The sequence below is a fragment of the Homo sapiens genome, chromosome 1 (assembly GCF_000001405.40).
Source record: "Homo sapiens chromosome 1, GRCh38.p14 Primary Assembly".
Taxonomy (NCBI): Eukaryota; Metazoa; Chordata; class Mammalia; order Primates; family Hominidae; genus Homo; species Homo sapiens.
Genome location: NC_000001.11, coordinates 176,946,971 through 176,970,379, shown reverse-complemented (window position 1 = coordinate 176,970,379; position 23,409 = coordinate 176,946,971). Strand labels below are relative to the sequence as shown.

Genomic DNA, 23,409 nt, shown 5'->3' with positions numbered 1-23,409 from the left:
TCCCTTGCTGCACTGAGGTAGCCCATATGAAGGGAGCATCCAGTCAGGCTGGTCACGCAGGGTCTTTACTCACTCACTAGGTTACAGAGTGAAAGAAATGCCCAAGCTATCAGCATGAAGGACAAGCATCAAGTCAAATCAAGGCCACAGCCAACCTCTGGCCCAACACATCACCTAGACTAAGGGAAAAATCCCTGCAAAAGTGGATATGTCCTAAAGGGGAGGAGAGAGAATTGGGAGAGAAACCAAAAGCTTGAAAATTGCCAGTGCTTAGAGAAGACTCTGAATAGACTGTGGGTATTGTGTGAGACAGGAGGAAGAAAGAAAAGGCAAATAAAAGATTACCACTAGTTCTCAGCATACGCGTTTCCATGTGTGCCTGCTGGCTGCTGTGCATCCGTTACAATGGGCTCCTCTGTGGCACAGGCTATGTTCCTGCATGGGCATGGGTCTGCGGTGCTTCCTGTGATGTGCCTGAATGGAAGCCACCTGTAGCTGCCCACATGGGACGACAATCTTCAGGGTCTTTATTTGTTAGAATGAAGATCTAAACAAACAAACAAACAAACAAAAATGCTCTATTCTGACTAAAAAGATGTGAGTGGTTTGCCCTGCATTGAGAGAATATTGGAGACCACATATCAAAGTGGATACAAGAGACTGAAAGTTCCTTCCGATGGCAGGGTTCAACCTCCTGCCCCACATCTGACCTGACACCATCCATGGGCTCCTCGATGGCCTAGTGCCCTTTCCACAAAATGAATATTGGCACAGTCTGCTCAATAATGCTGCTCACTTCTAATTGAGGCAACACTCTTACCATTACAAGCAGACAGAAGCTGAGGCTTGCCACTCACTCTCCTTTCTAGCTCCAGCCCAGAAAACCAGATAGGAGTTGCTGTCTCTTTAGAAGCCTCTGCTTACCCGGCCGAGAGATTGGTCCAGGTTGCTCATCTGACTCAAAATATGTCAGGCAGTTCTCCCACAGATTATTTTTTTTCCTAATGAGGAGACAAAGTGTTTCCTCTGTGGCCCATACGGCTAGGGGCCATCTCCACCATGTGTCTTAGCTGTTTGGAATGAAGTCCATAGTCTGAGAAACAGAGCAAAGGGAGGCGAGAGACACATAGAAGGGCCTTTAGACCCTGCTTACAGGCATCTCAGAGGCAACTTCCATTTAAACCTGGGTACAAGATTTCATGATAGGCTTTTTTTGGCGGGGAGGCGGGGGGGTTTCTTACTTTCACTTGCACTCAAAAAGCCCAAATACAGAGGCCTTTCCTCTTTCAGTGGGTCTCAAGTAAGTCCGTTTCAAAGCGTTATGAGTGCTTTTACGTCCAGCTCTTCATTACTTTGCCCCGCCTTTTCCTGTATGGCCATCTATGGCTTTCTACCTGTGTGCACCAAGCTCCCCTGCCAGACCCTCCACTGTCATTCCATGCACTGCCAACACCAGCCTTCCCTGCACCCAGGATGGCAACTCTACCACCAGCCATTACCACTTAGCTTATTTCCTAAAAAGCCCTTCCTCTTCCCTTTTAACATTCTCAGTGGTTTGTCTGGGTCTATATGTGTTTCTTCACAAAGACCTTAGATTCCTTTGAGGGCAGGAATCTCTTTATCCCAATTCCTGTTGCCTAATATCACAGTTCACACACAATAGGCCTCCACAAATATTTGCTAAATAAATCAAGTAAGATTTCTCATCTCTCTGACAGATCATTCCGGACTAGAGGGAAGAAATTAGGTAAATTCCCCTTTATTCCTTTGCTGGTGCAATTTTGCTACTCGCTGACTTCTCTTGCCATTTCACAATATGCACTTCCCTGCTCTTTGTGTTTAATGTCAATGCTGTAGAGTGAGTTGCCCAGTGAAGTGACCACTGGGTGGGAAGTGGGAGGTGGGAGGTGGGGTGTCGGGGCTTTGGCCTTTCCATACTCATGTTGCCTCCTCTCCAGCCTATGTGAAGACATCTATAATCTGAGTTAAAGCCTGGCGTTGGCATTGCATTTGCACCTTAGGGCAAGACACATCTTCCTCTATTGAAATTTGGGAAACACTCCTTATAGTATTTATATTTGATGCATGTAATTGATCAATTTAACTTATTTAACAAATGATTCTATGTGTGGCACTCACTAAATGCCACGCACTGTTCTAGGCACTTTAATTACATTAGCTAGTTCCTCCTCATAACAACTTTGTCAAATAAATACAGTTATTACCATCTGCCTCATTTTACAGATGAGGATATGGGGTTACAGAATGATGAAGGAACTTGCCCAAAGTCACACAGTGATTGGTGGCTAAGCTGGCATTTGAAATAGGCAGGCTAACTCCAGAATCCATGTCCTGAAACCACTGTGCCCTGCTGCCTTTAAATGTGATCAGGATGGGGTCTACACTACACTCCTGCCTCTAAATGTGATCAGGATGGGGTCTACACTACACTCCTGCCTCTAAATGTGATCAGGGTGGGGTCTACACTGCACTCCTGCCTCTAAATGTGATCAGGGTGGGGTCTACGCTGCACTCCTCTACATCCTTCCAATTTGAGTTGATTTTCTTAATTTTCAGGCCCCTCAAGAGCAGGAGGTCTCCTTGACCTAAACTACTTAGCAACAGTGGATGTGTGCTTAATAAATATGTCCAAGCTCATTGCTTCCTTAACTTTGGCTTTGGCTTGAATACAGATTTATTTGTGTCATTCTGCATAGCTAATTGTTCACACAGTATTTAATGCCAGTCATTTGGCTCCTGAAAATATATTTTCAAACAACCTAGAAACTATGCCAACAATTAACTATAATTACACATTGTATCAGTTTTGAGTGCTAGAAATGGCTGGAAGGCAAAATGTATGTTATTTAAAATGTTAAACTGACAGTAAATAAAATATGATCCTACCCAAAATAGAGATAAATAAAATTGCACGTCCCTCTTTTTTTACTGCCCTTTCTAGGTGTCTGGGATTATAGGGAATATTTTTTTCTCATGATTTCTAGACTTTTTCTTGAATTAACAGATATTTTTAGCTGTGCATAAACCACCTTTTTCTGTTCAGCAAAAAAGAATCAGATTCAAACCCTACTCTGTGGGTTCACCTACAATGATGAACAAACATAAAAAACACCTGGGGAGGGGCCTTTTATTTGATGCAAGAGTTATTCACAGTACATTGTTTGGATACTTTATGGAGCCAATTCTTGCCTCTAGGTATTTCCAAATTAAATCCCAGGAATAATGCATTTATGAATAGTAAGCTTAAATAAGGAACACATTCATCCTAGCCACTTCCTTATATAGTTCCAATGGCTTTCCCTAGCAACAAATAAAGACTCTGGGTAATTAATTTGTTAGCTTGTTGGGTTAAGTTGGTGATTTCCAACACTATCAATATTTTGTAACAAATATTTTTAACCCCTTTTATTATGTGTAAATAAAATTTATAAATAATAAAACCTGTATCTACAAAATTTTAACAAATATAGTGTCTCAATATTAATTAAGGGAGAAATAAGAAAAATTTATAATGATATAACTGTTAATATTTAATAATTATATCTTCCTATGCTAATTACAATAAATATTTTAATGCTCCATTACAATAAAATAAATAATAAATTTTATAGACATTTGTACCTAGTACAGATTCACCATAATATAATATATAATATAATATGCAATACTGTATTATGATATGCGTGAGAGCAATACAGACTGATACACATGTGCTGTATTGGTGATTCAAAGTGATTATACAATGTGTAACCTCCGCTCAAATTATAAAGTAGTTATGGACCTAGAAAATTCACTGTGTATTGAAACTGTACTTTGTGCTTATGTGTCAATGGAATTAGCATCTATGCTCAAACCATTAGAAGCAGGTTTTCAAAACTTAAATAAATGTCTTGCATGACATTCAAAAGCTTGTAGGACATGGGGAAATTTTTGTTCTGCAGAACTGTCCTGAGCAATGCACTATTTTAGCCATCCTAGCCCCACCTTCTAAAGGGCAATAATGACCTTCAGTCATTGTGTCATTGAAGAACAACTGCCATACATTTATCAAAATGCCCTCTATGGGGTGATACCCTCTGCATTGAAAACCACTAGATTAACTCCTAGTATTAGAATTAGTCCCAAATAATAATTATAATTTATTCTCCTGACTTTTTGTAGTCCTTGAAAACAAAAGGAATGTCTACAGTAAAATTGTCAATAATTGGGTTCATTATGAGACTGTAAGTTGCACAAGTGTAAGGGCTAAATCCACCTAGTGTGTGCAATAGCTCAGTACTCACAAGATCTGGTCTTTGCTAAGTCTTGCTTTAATAATTAAATAATGGGCTTAGAGATCTGGGTTAGTGAAAAGATATACACTATTTAAAAGAAATAGTCTTGTTACTTTCTAATACATGTGACAATACCTAGATGTTCACTAGAAGGAATTACAGTTAAGAAATATTTGCAAACACGATTTCAATTGTTTCTGTTTGAGTGAGTGACATTAAAACGTTTGAAGATGTCTGAAACCTATCAAAGACCCAGAATCCTCTTGTCATTTTGAATAAGAAAAGAAAACATGTTGAATATCCTATATGAGCTGCAGTCTTTGGCCTAAGAGGTCTGCTTAATCTTCACAATGGTCTGTTAGGTAGCTATCATTTATTGACCCTATAGGAAATTAGGACTGGCAAGCAAATTATCGGTCCATGGTCAGACAGTTGATTCAAATGTGAGAATGAGGTTTGAATCCAGAACTGTCTGATTCCCAAGAAATCACGCTGCTCTTCTTAAGGGAGCCCAAGCTAGGTTTCTGTGAATCTATATCTAAAGGACCATGAATTATGAATATGTGACATCTATCTTCATATAGTTTTACTCTATATGTAGTTCCAATTGTCATGGCTATTAAATTCCATTTTCCTAGTAGTTCAGTGATTTTTACATTTATCGTGTTCTTCGTCAGGTCCCAGGATTCAAGGTCATGTGTGAGCTCATATTAGTGAGCTTCTTGAGGGCAGAGGCTATGCCCTGGATGGCTGGGTGTCTACCACCTAGCACTGTGCCTGATACGAAGTGGGTGTTCAGTGAGTATTTGTTGAGTTGAATTTAATTGAATGATGTTTCTTCTTTTAGGCCATGGCCTTACACAATATTTCAGCGAGGCTTTGACCTGGTTTTGGGAGAGCAGCCCTCTGATAAAATATTTAGGTAAGTGATTGTCTAGGGACTTGCTTATGTACGTCTGCAAACCCTGTGTTCCGCTTCCCCCGAACTGACTTTCCTAGTTGGTAAAGTATAAAATAGGAAACACCTTGAGTTGTCACGACCACCTGCTAACAAAAGTGTTTGCCCCCAGTCATGCCCAGGGACAATATGGAGGACTTGGAGGTCAGACAGATTCTGTTTGGGCCCTGGCTTCCTTCTTTGCCAGCTCTGGGAACCTCACTAATTTACTCAACCTCTTGAAGCCACCAGACTCTGCATTTGTTAAATGGGGCTATATTACATGCCTGGCTGGGTTATTGTGAGGGATATATGAGATAATGCAGGGAAAGTCCCTGGCACAGAAACTGGCACAGAGTAGGCAATTAATGTCAGTTTCTGCCTCTCCATTTTGCATCTAATTTGCACCTTCCTCATAGAGTCTTAAGTTGTTCAAAATGAATCTCTCCCGCCCCTGCCTTCCCCTTTTCTAAACTCTACCTCATTATTATTTTCTTTTACCTACTACTTTGCTGATCAAATTGGATGCTTCTACTCCCTCCCAAATTTCTACCTACATACCTGGGAATAGCACGTATTAGAAAGGCCCACAGCAGAGGAATAATTTGAGTGCCAGCCAGGAAGGATTCAATTATCATAAAGTTTAATTCATATTAGGCCTTAGCTGAAACAGTTTATTTCCAAAATAAGATCTTACCATCCATTCATTTTGTCAATCTATCATTCACTTAACATACATTTGCTGAGTTCCTTCTAAGTGCTTGGCTTGACAGTATGGGCGTGAATACATGTCCCTCCTTGAGTAAGTCCTCTAGTAGAGGAAGTGAGTAGTCCTGCATAAGCGGCTGATGAATTCAGCTACTGCATGCCTTTTCTGGACAAATGGTGAGCAGCGTAGGACAAATGGAAGACTTGTATCCATACAGTTTGCTGAGTCTCACTTCTTCACTGCCACCTTTCCAAGCCCCTTCCTAGACCATCCCTGTCAGCCATTCCTGGCTTAGGTGTTAATTTTTGCTCCTGCATTTGCCTCCTAGAGCTCACTCTTTTGCAAAGCTTCTACTGCTCCTCCTGTAGCTCGGGGTGGACTCAGCTTAGCCATAGCAGTGTTCTATTAGGCGTGCTCCTACCTAGAGTGCAGATTCACAGAACCACTTCCTCAAAGGACTTTCCCTTGTCCTTTTCTCTCCTGAGTGTCTGTCCCAGGGAAGCTAATGGCGTTGGCTACAGGCCGCTTTTGAGGATTTGTGCTGCAAGAGATGTCAGCTCCATTCCTTGGACTGTGACATGGGCATTAAACTTTCCAACAAGGATTTATCATTCGGCTGACTTTTTCTCTTTTTCCTATTGCTGGTCTTCCAGGACTTCAAAGCGTGATAAAGATAAGGCAGATGAGGAGCCTAGTGGAATCTGGCTGATTGACATGGATAAGTTCCCCATTCCCTAAAAGTCAGAAACTAACAGTTTGAAAAACAAGGGCCTTAATAAAATTGCTATTCAAGCAAAACCTGCACAAAAACTGTTTCTATCCCCACAAGCACCATTTATGTTCTTTTCAAAGTTGCTGGCTGCCAACCGGATGTTTTATCCAAGCACTATAGTGGGGGCCAGTTGTGTGGTTTGACCCATGAGGTCAGATATCTCAGGAGCCAGTGGGTTAATCAATAAGTGATTAAGAATTTTTATCCCTAACATGGAAATAACTAGCCTCTCAAATGAAAGCAATGGGTCACAATCTGTTTATTTTAGGTACCAGGAACTTTAATAGAAACCACTCTGGCATCTGAGTAAACCACCTACCAACGACCACTCTAAAAAATTCTATGACCTGGTCAATGACTGTAATTGGCTACTTATTTGCTACTATGCTCACTCATGATTTAGTGTCCTGTTGAATTCCAAGCTCCTGAACATCTCTCTGGACTCTGAAATAGAATTTAAATTCCTCCATTTAAATCTTTTTACTATTGAATGCCAACATACAATTTCCTCTAAATGAGCCACTCTTCTTCTAGAGAACCTTTTGTTCTTAGTTGAATCTGTTTTCTAAGTGATCCAATATCTGCAATAAATTGAATATCTCCCACTCTGCTCATTTGCTCATACCCTTTCCTCTAGCAAGAATGCACATTTTTCTCGTAATATAAATGCTACCAGTTTTTATCGTCCAAATCAAGTCTCCACCAAACTCAGCATCTATTGAACACCTACTATTTCAAGGTACTGTTTCAGATGCTACACATATAACCAAACAAATATGACCAAGATAGTCTCTGACTTCAAGCATTTACAGTCTCATCCAAAAAGCAGTCTCCAACCCTGGCTGTCTATGAGAGTCCCCAATGTGCTTTAAAAATGACCGATGATCATACCCAGAGCAAACTAATTAATTCATAAGTTCTGGAAGGTGTGGCGAGGGCATGAGTGTTTTTTAAAAGCATCATGGTGATTCTAACCTGAAGCCAGGTTGAAGAATGTTGCTCTAAAATGTCTCCAATTCACTGTACCAATCCGCAATGACTTTACCCCTGCAAATGCCTATAATATACTGATTTTAATATGTATTTGTCAATTATTTTGTTTAATATTTATTTTTCAACTGCCTATTTTTCCCCAATGAAATGATGTTCTTCTTGAGGGAAGGAGTGGTGTCTTATATCACTTTAAATATTTAACATCCAACATACAATTTTGAACACAGCAGGCCTTCAATAGATATATGTAGATAATCATTTCAGGCATTTCCTAAAAACTTGAACCCAGAGTAAGGAAAGACCTTGATGTTCAACCTAACCTTGATAATCTGCAATCCCAAATAACTTGGGAAGGGCCAAAGCTAGACTCAAAGGATCTAAGAGGACCCTGAACCTACTGACTGAATCTTCCCACCAAACCCATTCCAGTGTCCAAGAAGTCCTTTCCACTGTGGCTAGGATCACTCCTTTCCACTAGACTGTGGGGGTAGGGATTGGTACAGACCAAATTGATCCCACAGAGACCTTCCCTCAAAGTGAGTGCCTGCATCCTTTGGAATAATTCCTTGTCCTGGAATAGCCTGCTCTGAGGAAGCGTGGAGATGCCAGGTCAAGAGCAATTGATCCGTTTCCTCACATTCCATTTAATGGCAAGCCATGGTGAGACCACAGCCTTGTTCTGTGAGAGCACTCTCTGGTGAGTGTTTGCCTCTGGACAGGAATTTCTAGCTCTAGTTGAACACAGGGCTGTGTGCAGGACTCAGTGCACAGCTGAGCCATCAACTGCACTGGTCAGCACCAGCTGTCTCCAGAGAAGGCCCGAGTTGGGAAAGCATTCTAGATGCTCACCCAGCTTCTCTTGGGTAGCTTTTTGAAGTTGTTCCTGCCAAATCTGCATGAATGAGGGACAGATGAGATTTTAGGACACAGCTTTTCTCTGACAGTTTGTTCTATATTTGGTTTTTGGAGTTACTCAGTAGATTTTGCAGATGAAAGAAAACTTTAGAATTCCATAGGCCTGAGCCAGCATGAACTAGAAAGCTGCTGGGATCCATACCTGAGAATCAGACCAATCCCAATTTTCCCATTTACAGAGGGTGACCTTGGAGAGGTTACTAGCCTTAAAAATTAGTTGATACATCGGTAAAATGGGGCCAGATGACCAGCTTCAGAGGACTGTTGTAAGGATAAATGAGGCCACGCTACAGAGCACCTGCCCCTTTGCAGTTCTCTGCAAAGGTTAGTCTCACCCAACACCTGACTTTGCTTCCCCTACAGGGTTTCACCTTGATCTTACCAGAGGCTGCTTTTCTTATTAACATGGTCCAGTGCAGTGTCTCAGGAGCTGCTCTGCACATAGGAGGTTTCTCACAATATCAAATTCATTTCCACCTTAACCTTTAAATCCGTTTAAACCCAGAGTTTAACCTATAGCCTGCTCTACATGGAGGATAATCTTCACCTTTGCTTCCACCTTTAAATTTGAACATTGAGATTATGTTCCCCAGAAACTTGTGCAAACTAAAGAACCTAATGAAATATCGTTATTTATCGGTCAATAAATATTTATTGAGTGACGTCTTTGGGGCAGAAATTGTGTGAGGCAGTGGGGATACAAAAATGACAAGAACTGTCCTCTGCCATCCAAGAGAGCACATTCTTCTGAGTGGTGATGGATACCTGAAGAGACAGGCACAACTCATCATTTCAGGAGCAACAAGGGGCTCTGAGTCAGGTGCACAGGCTCAGCCCCTTGTTCAGCCTGAGGGTAGAGGGTGAAGGCCCTGGGGAGCTTTCTGGAAGGGGTAGGATCTTACCTGAGTCTGCAAATGATTAGAAGTCAGGCAAAGAAGAGAGGGAAGAAAATCCAGAAAGAAGGACTATTAGGAGCAAAAGCAAAGAGGTGAGAAAATCGGGACAACTTTAGGAACTATGGTCAGGTCTCATTGTAAGGGCAGAGGGTGACCCAGGGTTTGGTGAAAAAAGAAGCAGAAGAAGCCATCAGCTATCAGGGATGACCTCTTTGGAGGCTGGGACTTTATTCTGTAGGTACAGGGTGCCATAAACAGTTTAAGTTGGTGGAAGATGTGATTTGCTTTTCTCTTAGAAATATTAATGTATTCAGAAGAGGAAGAGAAAACTGTGAGATGGATGGGCATGGAGCCTCGTCTTTCAAAAGAAAAATTAACCATCAGAAATGTATCAGAACTGCCAACGGCTTCCTAAAATCAGTTACATAAATTGTAAACCACAGGTCACAGATTTGTTGCTCTGCATCAATGCAGATATTGTAATTTTGAAATCAAAATAGAAAACAAAATTTTATTTCTATGTTCAATAAGCTGCCTCCTCCTTGGTACCATTCAAACTACTTGTAGACATTCTCTCTAAAATGGTATAATAGCGGAGGTGCCCCCACTCCAGCCTGCCTGTTATAATGATGTTTCTAACTCAAGGATGTCCATTATGAAATGCAAAGTGAAATTATACAAATTCTTGGAGGTTGTTTTCTTCAACCTACATTATCCTTAAGTCCCGGATTCCAGGTACCTTGAGGCAATCAGCCCTGAATGGGCTCCTTAATCTTACCAGATGAAGTGTGTAACTGTGTGTTTGTGTTTGTGAGTGTGTGTGTGTATGTGTGTGTGAGTGAAGGGGCTGTCATGCTTCCAATTTTGCTAACTGCTTCACAGAAGAATGAAGTGATGATCTTCTATTGTCCCCTAAGTAACAAGCTTTCCTCCCCTGGTGCAGGCACCTCCCTGCACAGACCTACTGCTTGATACTCCTGTGAGTGGGGAGAATTGAGTGACTCTTTCAGAGTCAGAAGCATCTCTGACATTTCAATGCTGCTTAATGCAGAGGTTCACCAACTGGTCAGAGAAGTAGGTGCCCAAGAGTCAGGGTGGAAATGGGAGAAAATCCCCCATATCCTGGCCACTTCCCTCCTACCAGTGGCTCTGCCTGGCCCCTGGAAATCCCCTGCGTTAAGCTGGCACATGTCCCACACCTCTCCAGCTGCTCTAGGGCCCAGGACTCTCTTTCAGGGTGTAGGCAGAAATCATGTGGCTTGGCTGCTCTCTAACTCAGGAGCCCTAGTCAATGGGTCTGCTCTGTGGCCAGCTTACTGGAGAGGGCTACATTTTTTTTTTTTAAATAAAAGATCTGAAGTCATCAATCTGGTTTCCTAGAATTTCAGGCAACCTGGGGAGGGGAGAGGGTTGTGTATGGGAAGAGAAAGGAGCAGGATTCTGAAATGGTGCTGTACGAGCAGCATGCTAATGGAGCCAGCGCTTGGTTCTGTTTAATTGTAAGCATCCTTCCATTGTTCCTCCCTGCACATTAAGTGGGGAGGGGATGCCAGACTGCCACAGCCTCCTCATATCCCATCCACACTGGCTTTCATCCCACAGACTATTTTTGACTATGAACACAGAGCATTTGAATGCCTTTGAAATGAAATGAATGAATAAATAAACAAATAATCTCTCATGGTTTTCTTAAGCTCTCCCTTGAAATGCCGATTGATTCTTTTATTCCTTTTAGTCCTTGTTGTAAGAATAAAAAAAAAATCTTCCCTGTATCCCAAGGGTTAGCACCTTTAGCCAATGGTGTGGGTAGGAGTGCAGAGAATAAATCTGGGCCTGTTTTGTTCATTTGTTCATCTGCTCTTCTCTCCTCCCTGGAGGCTCTTGGCTTCAGTCATTTCTGTTCCCATCACACAGAAGCTGTAAAGGGGTGCTTTCTTTCTTTATTTTCTTTGTTAGGGTTCCTCCAGTCACAGAGAGATGCCATTGCCACCACTGTGGGTGTGCAGCCATGGGATGGGGACGGTGGGAGGTTGGCATCTCTCTTCAATTAAAATGCTTCCAATTATATCTGACTCAAGACAGGGGAAGCCCAGCTTCAAATCCGAAGAAAGCTGGAACTTGCTTTTTATGACTTGATAAAAACTACTTCTAACAACTACTGAGTAGGCACCATAATCAGTTCTCCAGCTGCCTGGCCATGTGAGCAAGGGTTGGCCTCTCTGCCTCCTTAGAACTTAGTCATTGCACCCATAAAAAGGCAGTCTTTCTGAAAAGGACTACAAAGGGTGAGAAGAAAGCACTGGTAATGGAATGCTAGATCCCCCAGTGGTGAGTGGTTATGCCCCCAGTCATGACCACCTGGCACTGGGTGTCCCTGCAGATTCACCTACACTCTTGGGGAGGGCATGTGGTTGCCCCTCAGCAAGAGCTTTGTGATTCCACCAGCCGAACTGGCCATCAATCCATCAGCAAAGTGCAAGACGGACATGACTGTGATGGAGGATGCTGTGGAGGTCAGGTGAGTCTGGCTTCAGGACTGAGGCCTGCAATTGGCTTGGGAAGCAGAATGAGAAACTACCTGTAGGTTTTAGGTGCTGGGGAAGGAGTCCCAACAAGCTAAAAGGAAAAATTGGCAGGCAGCCTGCAAATTCCCCCTATGTTGTGCCAGGGTCTGCTTTTTATCTGGGTCAATATTGCACATCCCAAGGCTCATTCACTGGAAGAAGACATAAAATTAGAGTTTGTAAGCACTTCTCACATACACTAAGGACTGACAAGCAATAAAATGTTAATTTCCTTGCCTGAGTTTAGACCTCTTTCTTTGACCAGGCGTTACAGCCTTGGCTCATTTCCTAGATACGGAGAATGCCCATCGTTTGTTAGTTCAAGGCTTGGAGTATAGTTGATCTTCAATTTTTATAAGACAGAGTGAGACACAATTCAGTTGACTAGATAGGAGCATGGAATGTAATGCCACTTGTTGCATCTGGAATCTCCTTGACTCCTCCCTGCTTCCCACTCTTTCTCCCCACAGAGAGGAGCTGATGACTTCATCCTCCTTCGACAGCCTGGAGGTTCTCTTAGATTCCTTTGGGCCGGTGCGCGACTGCAGCAAAGATAACGGGGGCTGCAGTAAGAATTTCCGCTGTATTTCAGATCGCAAGCTGGACTCCACTGGTTGCGTGGTAGGTCTGCCCTGCAAGCTAGTAGTTTCTGTTTGAGGATGGGGAGGAAAGGCACGGGGGAAGACACAATACAGATACATAGGGAAAAATGTGCTGTGATCCCCAGTTGTAAACACCATTTAGTGTAAATTAGGGATTTTCTCTTGATAAGGATGAGAAGGTAATCATGAATCAGTTAGTCGAGAAGTTGTTATGGAGTACCTACTATGTGCACTATAACTATTCAAGAAAAAATTAGTTGATAAGAACTAAATAATTGCTTAATTGTATGACATTGATTCTAAATGTAATAGAAAATTTTAGGAGAAACCTACCTAAAGCTAGAGTGATGAAAGAAGTAAGTTATGCCAGGAATGGTAGTGAAAAAATAAAAATTAAAAAAAAAACTTTGTCCCCTCTGTGACCACAGCAATGAGCACCTGCTTCTTCAAAGCTGGGCTCCTAAAGTACTTCGTTATCAGCCCTATGGACTCTGTTTATGGTGGCTGACTCACACCTGTAATCCCAGTGCTTTGGGAGGCCGAGATGAGAGAGTCACTTGCAGCCAGGAGTTTGAGACCAGCCTGGGCAACATAGTGAGACCCTCGTCTCTACAAAAAAAAAATGGAATAAATTTGCTGGGCATGGCAGTGTATGCTGATAGTCTTACCTACTCTGGAGGCTGAGGCAGAAGGATTCCTTGAGCCCAGGAGTTCAAGGCTGCAATGAGCTATGATCTTGCCACTGCACTTCAACCTGGGCAACAGAGTGAGACCCTGTCTCTTAAAAAAAATGTGATACTATTAACTAGTAAGACAATTTGGGCTACAGTAGATTGAGCTATCTCCCACATCATGGATGTGAAGACTGAACTGCGCCATGCAGGGAAATGGAGGCAGGAGCAGATGAAGCCTTTAGCTGCTGGCTCCTTTGTGTGGGCCATTCTTATACTCATAGCACTATTGTCTGTTTCCATCCCTCCCTTCTTCGAAGGCAGAATGATGTAGTCCTCAAGAGAGGAGAGGGAATGGGTCAGGGGAGGCAGGGAGGAAAGCCATTCAGATTGACAGCAGAGGAGAGGAAGAGATGATTCACTGGTAGCTCTACTGGATTGGCGGTTGGAGCAGGAGCTTCCAGCTCTGGGGAGGATATGGTGCCCCATCTCTCTTTCCAGTCTGACAGCTGTGCTTTGTGAGAGGACCCAGAGCAGAGACAAGCTGTGAGGATGCTGCGCTGATGCCATCTTTCCTCTCCCCTCTTCCCCATCACTGAGCACCTGTTCTGTTCAGGGAGCTGCTCTCAATCAAAGACGGATATGTGCCTGGTACAGGGTGGAGTGCTCCCAGCCCTAAGGCCTCCCCAGACTTTTACCTATGAGGCAGCAGTTGACAGGAGGCTGATTCATCTGAGAAGGAAGAGAAAATGAAGAAAAAGAAAGGGAGAGAGAGAGAGCACTGAGGGGCAAGTAGGAGGAGAACCTGTGGGTCCATGATAAGGAGGGGAAAGAAGAACAGGAAGGTCTGTCAGGAAAATGCAAAGAACAGTGCTCTTTAGGTCACGTCTCCCAAAGGCAGCCAAGGGGGAAGTTGATGTCCCACAGTGCCACCCTCCCTTTGGCTGGTCCATTCTCAAATGTCTTAAGCAATGTGCTCCCAGCTGGGATCCTCAGGAGACAATTTCACTATCTAATGGAGCTCCCAGCTGAGACACTTTTAAAAAAAGCTATTCAGCTTATATTTCTTCATCCAGATTTGAGCCTTTCATTTCTTATTACTGTCTGGCGTCATTCTAAGTGCTGAAACACTGTGTGTTCATATGTGCACCTCCTTCCCTACTCTCTGTAGCCACTGCAGTATGGGTTTGAGCATGCACATGCATTAGCAGACAAACACAGGGTTAGGCTCTCCCTCTTTTGCCACTTCTGTGTCCCTTCCTGAGCCCCTCAGGGTCTGCCTGTCAGATGCCTTCTGTTGGTGATCCTAGCCCCTTTTACTTGGCACGTAGCTATGCTGATGGATTTTTGTACTTTTAACACTGGTCTGTGAGACAGAGCTAGCAGGAATAGTTCTGATGAATATGCATTTGCAATAAGGCTGCTGCATTTTAGAATTGGAGCCACTGCAGAAAGTCACCCAGTTATACCAGTACTTGGTATTAGCATAACACTTTGAAGCCACTGGACCACGTGGCTTCTGGAGAAGGAGGGGCAGGCGGATTGGCAGACACACTCGATTTCCTTTTTCTCATTGGCTGGTGAAGCATAGGCTTCCTGAGGCAGGAGGATGGATGGGTGAGAGCTGATTCCCATCATGACACTTGTGACTCCACTGAGAAGGTCAGAAACTTGACCTTGAGCCTGACCCATCTCCAGTGAGCATCGGTGCTGTCCTAAAGCTCTGATATATCAGCAGAGTGGTCCCTTGTCATCTGGAAGTGGACCAGGGACAAATGTATCAGCTGAACCACCTGCAGTTTGCAGAGCATTGGCCCGCCTTCCTCCTCTCCACGTAAAGTTTACCTTTAGTCCTCTGGGTGCTGAACTGAAAGGCTTCCCAAGAAAGGCCTATTTTTATGAAAGGAGAGAGATAAGAAACTCAGAACACGCTGACTCTTAAGGAACCCAAGGAAGGAGAAGAGATGTAGGCAGAGGCAGAGCATATACCCTTATATTTTCCTGGCTGAATTCAAACCTGACAGGTGGGATTCTTGTTTGGTCCGCATAGGCTGCTCAACCTTCATTCTTTCTAGGAAGCAGGACATGTTTCTCAGTTATGCATGGACTCCCACAGGGTTAATTGCTACACAGTTAATTGCCCTATTGTTCATATAGTCTCTGAGGACAGGAAACAAATATCTGTGAAAGGCACAGACCTGTACAAACCACAGTCACACCATTCCAAGCCAGACGGCCCTCCAGTAGCCACGGATTGCTGAAATTTCATGAGGGTTCCAAGCATCATGGTCAGCTACCCACTGCTGATGACCAGCTCTTAATCATTGTTCTTAGTGTGCAAGGTAAGAGCTGTGTTCCTTACTGGTGATATACAAGAGCAGCAGTTTTCTGGTCTATTGAGTGAGCCCTATAGGGTCTTTCAAGAGTACTTATAATCTTAGTGCCTCTGTAACAAACTACCACAGATGTAGTGGCTATAAGTTACACATATTTATTGACTTACAACTCTATAGATGAGAATTCAACATGGTTCCCACTGGGCTAAAATCAAAATGCCACCAGGACTGCAATTCTTTCTGGAGGCTCTAGGGGGAATCCATTCCCTTGCCTTTTGCAGATTCTAGAGTCCACCCAGATTTCTTGGCACATGACTCTTCCCCATATTTAAAGCCAGCAACAGTGCATTTTTCTGACCATTTTTCTGTAGCACATCCCCCTCTCTCTCCAATTCTGCCTCCTCTTTCTGCTTTCAAGGACTCTTGTGATTACATTGAGCCCACCTAGATAATCCAGGATAATGTCTCCATTTCAAGATCCTTAATTTAATCACATCTGCAAAGTCGCTTTTGCCATGTGAGGTGATATCTTCACAGGTTTCTAGGATTATGCCAGGGACATCATTGGAGGGAGCAGCCATGGGAGATGGCAGTGGGGATTGGAGCAGGCTTGGCTGGCAGGACTTCAGCCTCCCTGCTCTGAGCTTTAGCCAGGATATCTTCACCCTTATCAAGTCTATCTATTGAGGTTTCATATAAAATTTTGTTTGAATCTTTGAAAATGATTTCTAATGCAATGAAAAAGAGGAAAACCCATGCTCTAATGCTCCTTCTTTAACTTCACACTCATTCTGAAAGTGGCCAAAAAATGCCTTAGCTTTGTAAGACGTAAGAATGTACACAGGTGAGCAGCCTGTGCCATGGAAGGGGAGAAATCGGGTGCCCACTTTCTCATGTATTGAACACACGACCTTCCTTGCCAGAGCATTATGCTCTAATGAGCTTTGAATTACCCAGTGACCCTGCCGCCCTTCCCTCCACATGCTATCTACAATGGTTTCCCATGAAATGTGTCATTTCACCTCTACTGGAGCACAGATGTGCGGAGACCATCACAGATTACCATCTCTCTCTCTGTAGGACAGTAAGCAGAAGAGTGTGCCTCAGAGGCTTCCAGAGAAATGGAGGCAGGAAGCTATCACTGCTGAAATATAAATTTGACTCCATCAAACTTTTCCCCTTGGGAGAAGTCCTGCATGGCTTGAGCCTGCATGTCAGAGCCCATCAAAAAGTTTGGGAATCATTATTTGTAAAAGAAGTGAGGTTGCCATTTAGTAAAAGAGAACCCATTTCTAATAGGAATTATAGTTGCATGTCTTATGAATCATCTAAGGTAAGGTGAGGCAGGATCAGCTGCAAGAATCTATCCCTTTTCTCCCAGAGGCCCTGAATATGTTCATGTATTTATCTCTCATACTCATCTCCCAACAGAGCACCCACTTCATAATCTGGAACGGAAGTATGCATCTTAGTGAGTCTTCCTGAGATTTGACCAGCCTCCTAAGTAATTAATCAACTAAAAATCACTGGTAGGAAAAGAGGGGAAAGATGACAAAGAAAAGGAGTTGAATGGGAAAAATCATTTTAATCTCATTAGCCAATTATGCCTTATACCACTAATAAGTCAAGAAGCCATGAGCATCTCACGAAAGGTGATTAACCTTGTGTATTTTAGGGGTCACTGAAATATGAGCTCATTTGCTCAACCTTTTTGTTAGGGGAGGGCTGTTGCCATAATAAATGGAGTTTTCTTCTTAAGCCTGTAGTTTATAAAGTCCCTAGGAATGCTAAATATAACCTATGCAAAGAAGGGTTAATATATGACCTTGGGGGTCTCTCCTGATCAAACAGTTCTCTTTCAAGGAATAAGTGGAGGCATTGTCCAGAGCCAGGAGAAAAGAATATCCAGCCCTTGCAAACAGAAAATGCATGCTTCTCCTGGAGGCAGGATTTCTTTCTGAGAACAGGACTCTGGCAACAAACACTTCTAGGATGAAGGGCATGGTTTGGAGACTCTGGTTTCTTTGTACTTAGCTATAGATTTTGAGGGAACCCAGAATGTGGATGCAACAGCAGAAAGAAGATTCAGGCAAAAAACAAAACAAATTTATACCTTAGGAAACTCCTTAAAGAATGTGTGTTCGGGTTCCCAAAGGTTAAGAAGAAAATTATTTTGGGTTTTAGCCTTTTTTTTTTCTGGAAATCTTTCTAAAATGTTTTACTCTGAACTGCAGCCTAAGCAAGTTCCAGTGCAGTAGGGATAATTGCATCTTTTTCAGTGATTGAGGATCTTGACTCGCCATCAAGGTCGTCACTCTGGACACTTTATAATGTTTTGTCCTAAAATATTTACACTCAGTATTTTGGTACTTCATGTGTGTGTATGCATGCATGTGCGTGTGTGTGTGTGTGTGTTTGTGTGTTTGAAAAGAGAGAGAGAAAAAAAAGAAAGAAAGAAAATACTAGGCTGAATCTACAAATCCATAATTGACCCCAGAACACACTCTGGGAATTCCTTAAAGCAATCACCAAATCTACAGGATTGCTTTGCTTTGTTGACACATTGACTTTGTTTCTTTAGGGATTCTCATGAATCCAGATTTTATCATACTAGAGAAGCAGCATGGCGGAGTAGATGGAAAACACACATGCTTTCAGGACAGACAATCTAGGCCCGAAGTCTGATCATGCCATTTTCCACCACTGGGACCCTAGACAAGTTACCTCATCTTTCTGAGTCTAATTTTCCTCATCTTTAAATTGTAGAAGATGAAATGTACCTGTGTTATTGGGTTGAAGATAACATATGTAGACCATTCTACACAAAGAATTGCTTAATTTCTGATAGCTATTAATACTATTTTTGGCTTTATTGATAAGTAAAAAAATAAAAAACCTGGACAAGACAGCTAACTGTCTTTTCTGCAAGTTGCCTAAGAGAGTATGAATTTCAGCTGGTCCAATTTGGGATAGCAGTGGTCATCTAGACGTTAAAGCCAGGCAAGATGTGGTTTTGGAATTCTGAAACAAAGCCTGCTCATGTTTCATTCAACAAAGTCTTTGTCAAAAATCATGCTTGAAGGAGAACTCTGAAAAAAGCGGGTGGTTGGAAAGATGGAAACTACTGGCTAGTGACTGAGGTAGCTAGGTGGTACAAGGGCTGAAACCATATGAGGTGGGAATAAAAGAAGGACTGACTTTATCTGCTTAATGGCTTCTAGCAAGCTGTCTAGAAGGAGGGAAAAATAAACCAAACTCATGGCAACCAGTGCAGCCCATTCAATTCCAATCAAACTTCCATGTCTTCCAGGTTTCTATCCTGCATCCATGCCTGGGCAGCCGCACAGTGCTGAAGCCAGCTCCCTTCTGGTGGCACATCTGGCCTAACAGCTGGGTGGCCAAGGAATATGATTAGTGGGAGGCTAGCAAAACATGGGGGGCAATCCTCAGCTGCCTCATTTGCTTGTTTACCATCATCTGGAACAGCTGGGTTTGCACAGCACGAGGCAGCCCTTGGAAACTTCTTTAAATGCTGTCACCTTCCAGCACTCCAGCTGCCTTCATGGGGAGAAAGGGAGATGGACCAGGCTGGGAGCCTGGCAGGCCCACAGGGGGCCATTTGTTTGGGAAGTTACAGAATTAGTGTTAGCAAACAGTGCATATCCTGCCTGGTGATGATCTTCAACTAAGAAAGAGGAGGAAGGAGAGGTGAGTTTTCAGAGGCACACCTGCAGCAGCTGTGGGCTACTAAGACAAGGTGCTTGGCAGCAAAGAGAAAGTGCAAACCAGGCAGTAGGGAGGGAGGGGAGATGTTTAACACTGTGTTTCATTGAGTTTAGAAAGTTTTGCTTTAGTTTGGTGTTGGTTTTGGAGGAGTGTGTTAACTTGTTGGCGATATGTATACAGCATAGTCATTAAAAGCCCCAGCATTGGAGTCAGATCTGGACAGACCCCCAGTTCTGCCCGACTCCTGCTGCTTGACCTTGTGCAAGTTATTTACCTGCTTCCAGCCTATTAGAAAGGATTAGCTCTAATGCAAATGTACAGAATCTGTTGCACAAGCAGAAGGTGCAGGATGGGGAAAAAAAGTCATTGACTTTGAAACAGAGCCCAGTGCAGTGAGAAGAGTTTGTGAATTAACTGGCAATGTTAATGGTGTCCTTACCTCTAAATAGGGATAATATAGGGTATTGTGAGATAAAATACCTAAAGTACTTAAGCATAGTGCCAAGCTCCTCATAAGTGTTCAGTAAACGGTGACTACTGTGTAAACGGTTAAGTGTGGTGTGTGCTAATGATGAAGCAGCTAAGTTACGGACTCCACAGCCAACCTACAAAGGGTTCAAGCATGGTTCTGCCAGGAGCAGCTGTGTGACTTTAAGAAAGTGAAACTCTCTGTGCCTCAGTTGCCTCATATGCAAAATGGGGATGATCATACTGCTTACCTCCTGGGGGTGTTGTGAGGATCACATGAGTTAGTGAGCACCTTAGACCACGGCCTGGCATATAATAGGTGATGGGTAAGTGCTGTAATTGCTCACCAAGTCCTTTTGTCTTCTCCTGGGAAAAGACATCCCTTCTTAGATATTCTCTTTGCTATAATTCTTGGGGAGTATATTACTGAGGACAAGGTAGTGCTGAAAAGCTAAATATTTTGCATTAAAAGCATCCAGCCAAATCCAAGTGCAGCACCTGTGGGTGACCATATAGTAGGTACCCTTGTGTCTTAGGTGTCTTCCAAAGAGCATCCCTGACACAGGGAGGTGATGACACAGCTACTCCCACTATGAGAGCAACCCCCCTCTAAGCTTACAGGGAATGTTCACTTCCTCCTTCAGGCTGGAAGCCCTGGCTCAGTCCATTCCCCCCAACACTGCTATTTGGTACCATTGTTGACAAAGGGCTTTAGACACTTAAAAAACTCATAGTACCACCAAGGCCAAAGAGCAGCACTTCCTTCCTGTAGCCCAGTGGAATCTTTGCAAATGCATTTTCATTCTGGCCCATCACTTCCACTCTCCTGCCAGCCAGAGGCCCATTTGGGAGGCCAGTACACCTCGGCTGTGTCTTGCTACAGTGCTCTCTTCCAGCCTTTTTGGAGGAAGTGTCTTTAATGCAAATGTGTGTGATCAGTGTCTAGAGAGAAGAAGAAAGACGTCAAAAAAGGTCACTTGTTTTTAAAAGAAGTCTGCTGTGGTAGGAAATTCATGGATTACTTGCGAATGTTAATAGTTTCAAGGCTGAGTGCTACAAATTGGTGTCAGTGGTTACACTCAGTTCCCAGAGAACTCAGTTCCCCGATTCACCCACGTATGTGGATGTTTTCTGATTGTGCCAGTGCCCATCTGGACTCAGTCCCATGAAGGACAGCTCTGGCTGCTATGACCGCCACATCGGGGTGGACTGTTCCGACGGCTTCAACGGCGGCTGTGAGCAGCTGTGCCTCCAGCAGATGGCGCCCTTCCCGGACGACCCCACCTTGTATAACATCCTCATGTTCTGTGGGTGAGTTGAGCTGCCAGCGAGGCCACCTGGCGTCCATCTGTCCCAGGACGCAGGACTTTCAATGCTAAATCCAGGAAATGTGAGTGAATAGGTCACCCTAGGCCATCCCTTAGTCTCTGAGGAAAGAGCCTCTAGGACTTGGGGGGGAACATTTTTAAAGTCGAGGGGGAACATTTTAAAGTTGTGTGGGACCTAAGTCTAGTCCAGCCCCTATAGATGGGGAAACTGAGTCTGGGGAATTTACCTGCAAGGGGAAGTTAACTACATGGTTTACTTAAATCATTCTCCAATTAAACCAGCATTTTCCAAGTTGTGTTTTGAAAGGCTATGTTAATTAAGTGTTTTGTGACAAAAGGTTTTTATTGTTTAAAACTCGGGAAAGAGTGTGCAAAACTAGTCAATTCTCAAAAAAGGGGGGTGGTCTTTGGACAAATGGAAACTTTTCTAAATTCTGCCCCCAAAGTCCCAGCACTGTGTGCAGCCACTCCTCCTGAGGCACAGTGATTCCTCCGTGTGAAGAGCCCTTTCTTGCAGGCAGGCTCTCCCACCCACCTCAGTTCATCTCTTCTCAGGATCACTCTGTGAGGGAGCAGGGCAAGCAATGCAAACCCATTTTACAGATGGAAAAACTAATGCACAGTGAGGTTAAGTGACTCCCTCAAAGCTGGGAAGATGGTGAGTGAGAAGATTACGACTGGATTCAGGCCCTCCCTGATTTTTCAAAAGTTCTGTGGTTCTCTGGAAATTTAAATTTATACTGCTGACTGGAATTATATTTAAAGACATTTTATGCTATATTTATAAAGTAAACAAAGATTCAGCTATTCTTCTACAGCCATAGTTAGCTTGTCTATCCTTCCCCCACTCTCCATTCTCCCCCCTCTCCCTCCCCTCCCCTCTCTCTTCCGACCTGCTAAGGACAGAACTTACTTTATGCCACAAACTGTGCCGACCACTGAGCTGCAAAGATAAATAACATATAGTTCTTGCCCTCAAGGATCTCACAGTCTGATAGGCTTGCAATGATAATCAATGTTTATAGTCATAAAACTAGGCTGGATTGTTGCCCAAAGCCAGTGCCTGCTGAATAATCATGTAATGTTATTTTATTGTGTTTCATTTTATTTCTTTGTAATTGAACCATTTTCACATTCAGTTTCTTGTAAACTCTCATACCATAAATGGAAGCTTGCTCTATATCTTAATATTCTCTGTAATGTTATCATTAGGGTTGACCCATTTCAATTAATAGAGGTCAATTCAGCCAAAGTTATATAAATGTATTTATTTAATAAACATATATTTGAGCACCTACTTTGCACAGAGAACCCTGGGTGTCAGGTGTTGGAAAAAGAACAGGATACCCGACCTGATCTTTCCCCTCAAAGGAGTTTACAGTGGGACACATGGTCAGGAGAATGAGGAAGATGAGGCAGTGTGAAAGGGGAAGCTGTCCAGATGTTCAAGGTGGACTGAGAGGGAACCAGCCAGCTTCAGAATTCTTCCTAGAAACACTGTGCTATTGCTCAAGGAAGGAACCACTTCACTATCTTGTCCCAGACCTAAGCTGGTGTCATGGAATCCTCTGGGAATCTTGAGTCACATCTATTTCCTGGACTAATGTAGTAGGACCTGGACTGGATTTCTTTCCTGTTTCAATAAGAATCAGACACACGTGTGTTTAGCACTATCTAAGGTACTATATATAGCGTGCCGAAGAAGTCCTTGATTTGAGATTCTTATATAAAGACCAAATCACATACATTTATAATTAAAGAGCTCTAATCACACCTGTTCACACAAATATATAAATGGTAAATGGAAAAAGCAGTTAAAGGTGCATGAACATGGGCCTCATTTGCACCTCTACTTCTACAAATAGTAATATTTAATGAACACTAGCTATGTGTTAGGCACTGCATAAGCTCATTACATGCAGTCTCTCAATCTTCTCAACAACCCAGTGAAGCAGCTACTTTTTTCCCATTTCTACAGTTTTGGAAACTGAAGCTCAGAGAGGTTAATCAGCTGGCCCAAGGTTTCCATGTAAAGGACAAAGTCACTGCTATTACAATATTGCTTCTCGCTATATTATTCCTTGTTCCTCTACATAAGACAGAGTTCTTTATCTTATTATAACAGTGACTGTGGATAGGAATAAATGATGTGCTTTAATATCATGAGCATCTTTAAATTCTAAATTTGGTTTATGCC

The 23,409-nt window shown here is 43.0% G+C and overlaps 1 protein-coding gene across 7 annotated transcripts in view; it reads left to right on the top strand.

The window, feature by feature from the left end:
* The window catches only part of ASTN1 (astrotactin 1), a 307,392-nt gene that overhangs the window by 194,333 nt on the left and 89,650 nt on the right, over positions 1-23,409 (top strand). For all 7 annotated transcript variants that reach the window (XR_001737193.3, XR_921796.4, NM_001286164.2 and 4 more), the window contains exons 9-12: positions 5,143-5,217; positions 11,898-12,035; positions 12,552-12,702; positions 21,029-21,195. Coding sequence is in view for 5 of the 7 variants with exons in the window: in NM_001286164.2 (NP_001273093.1) it covers positions 5,143-5,217; positions 11,898-12,035; positions 12,552-12,702; positions 21,029-21,195 (531 nt within the window). In the remaining 2 variants the exon portion in view is untranslated. The remainder of the gene's footprint in view (positions 1-5,142; positions 5,218-11,897; positions 12,036-12,551; positions 12,703-21,028; positions 21,196-23,409) is intronic.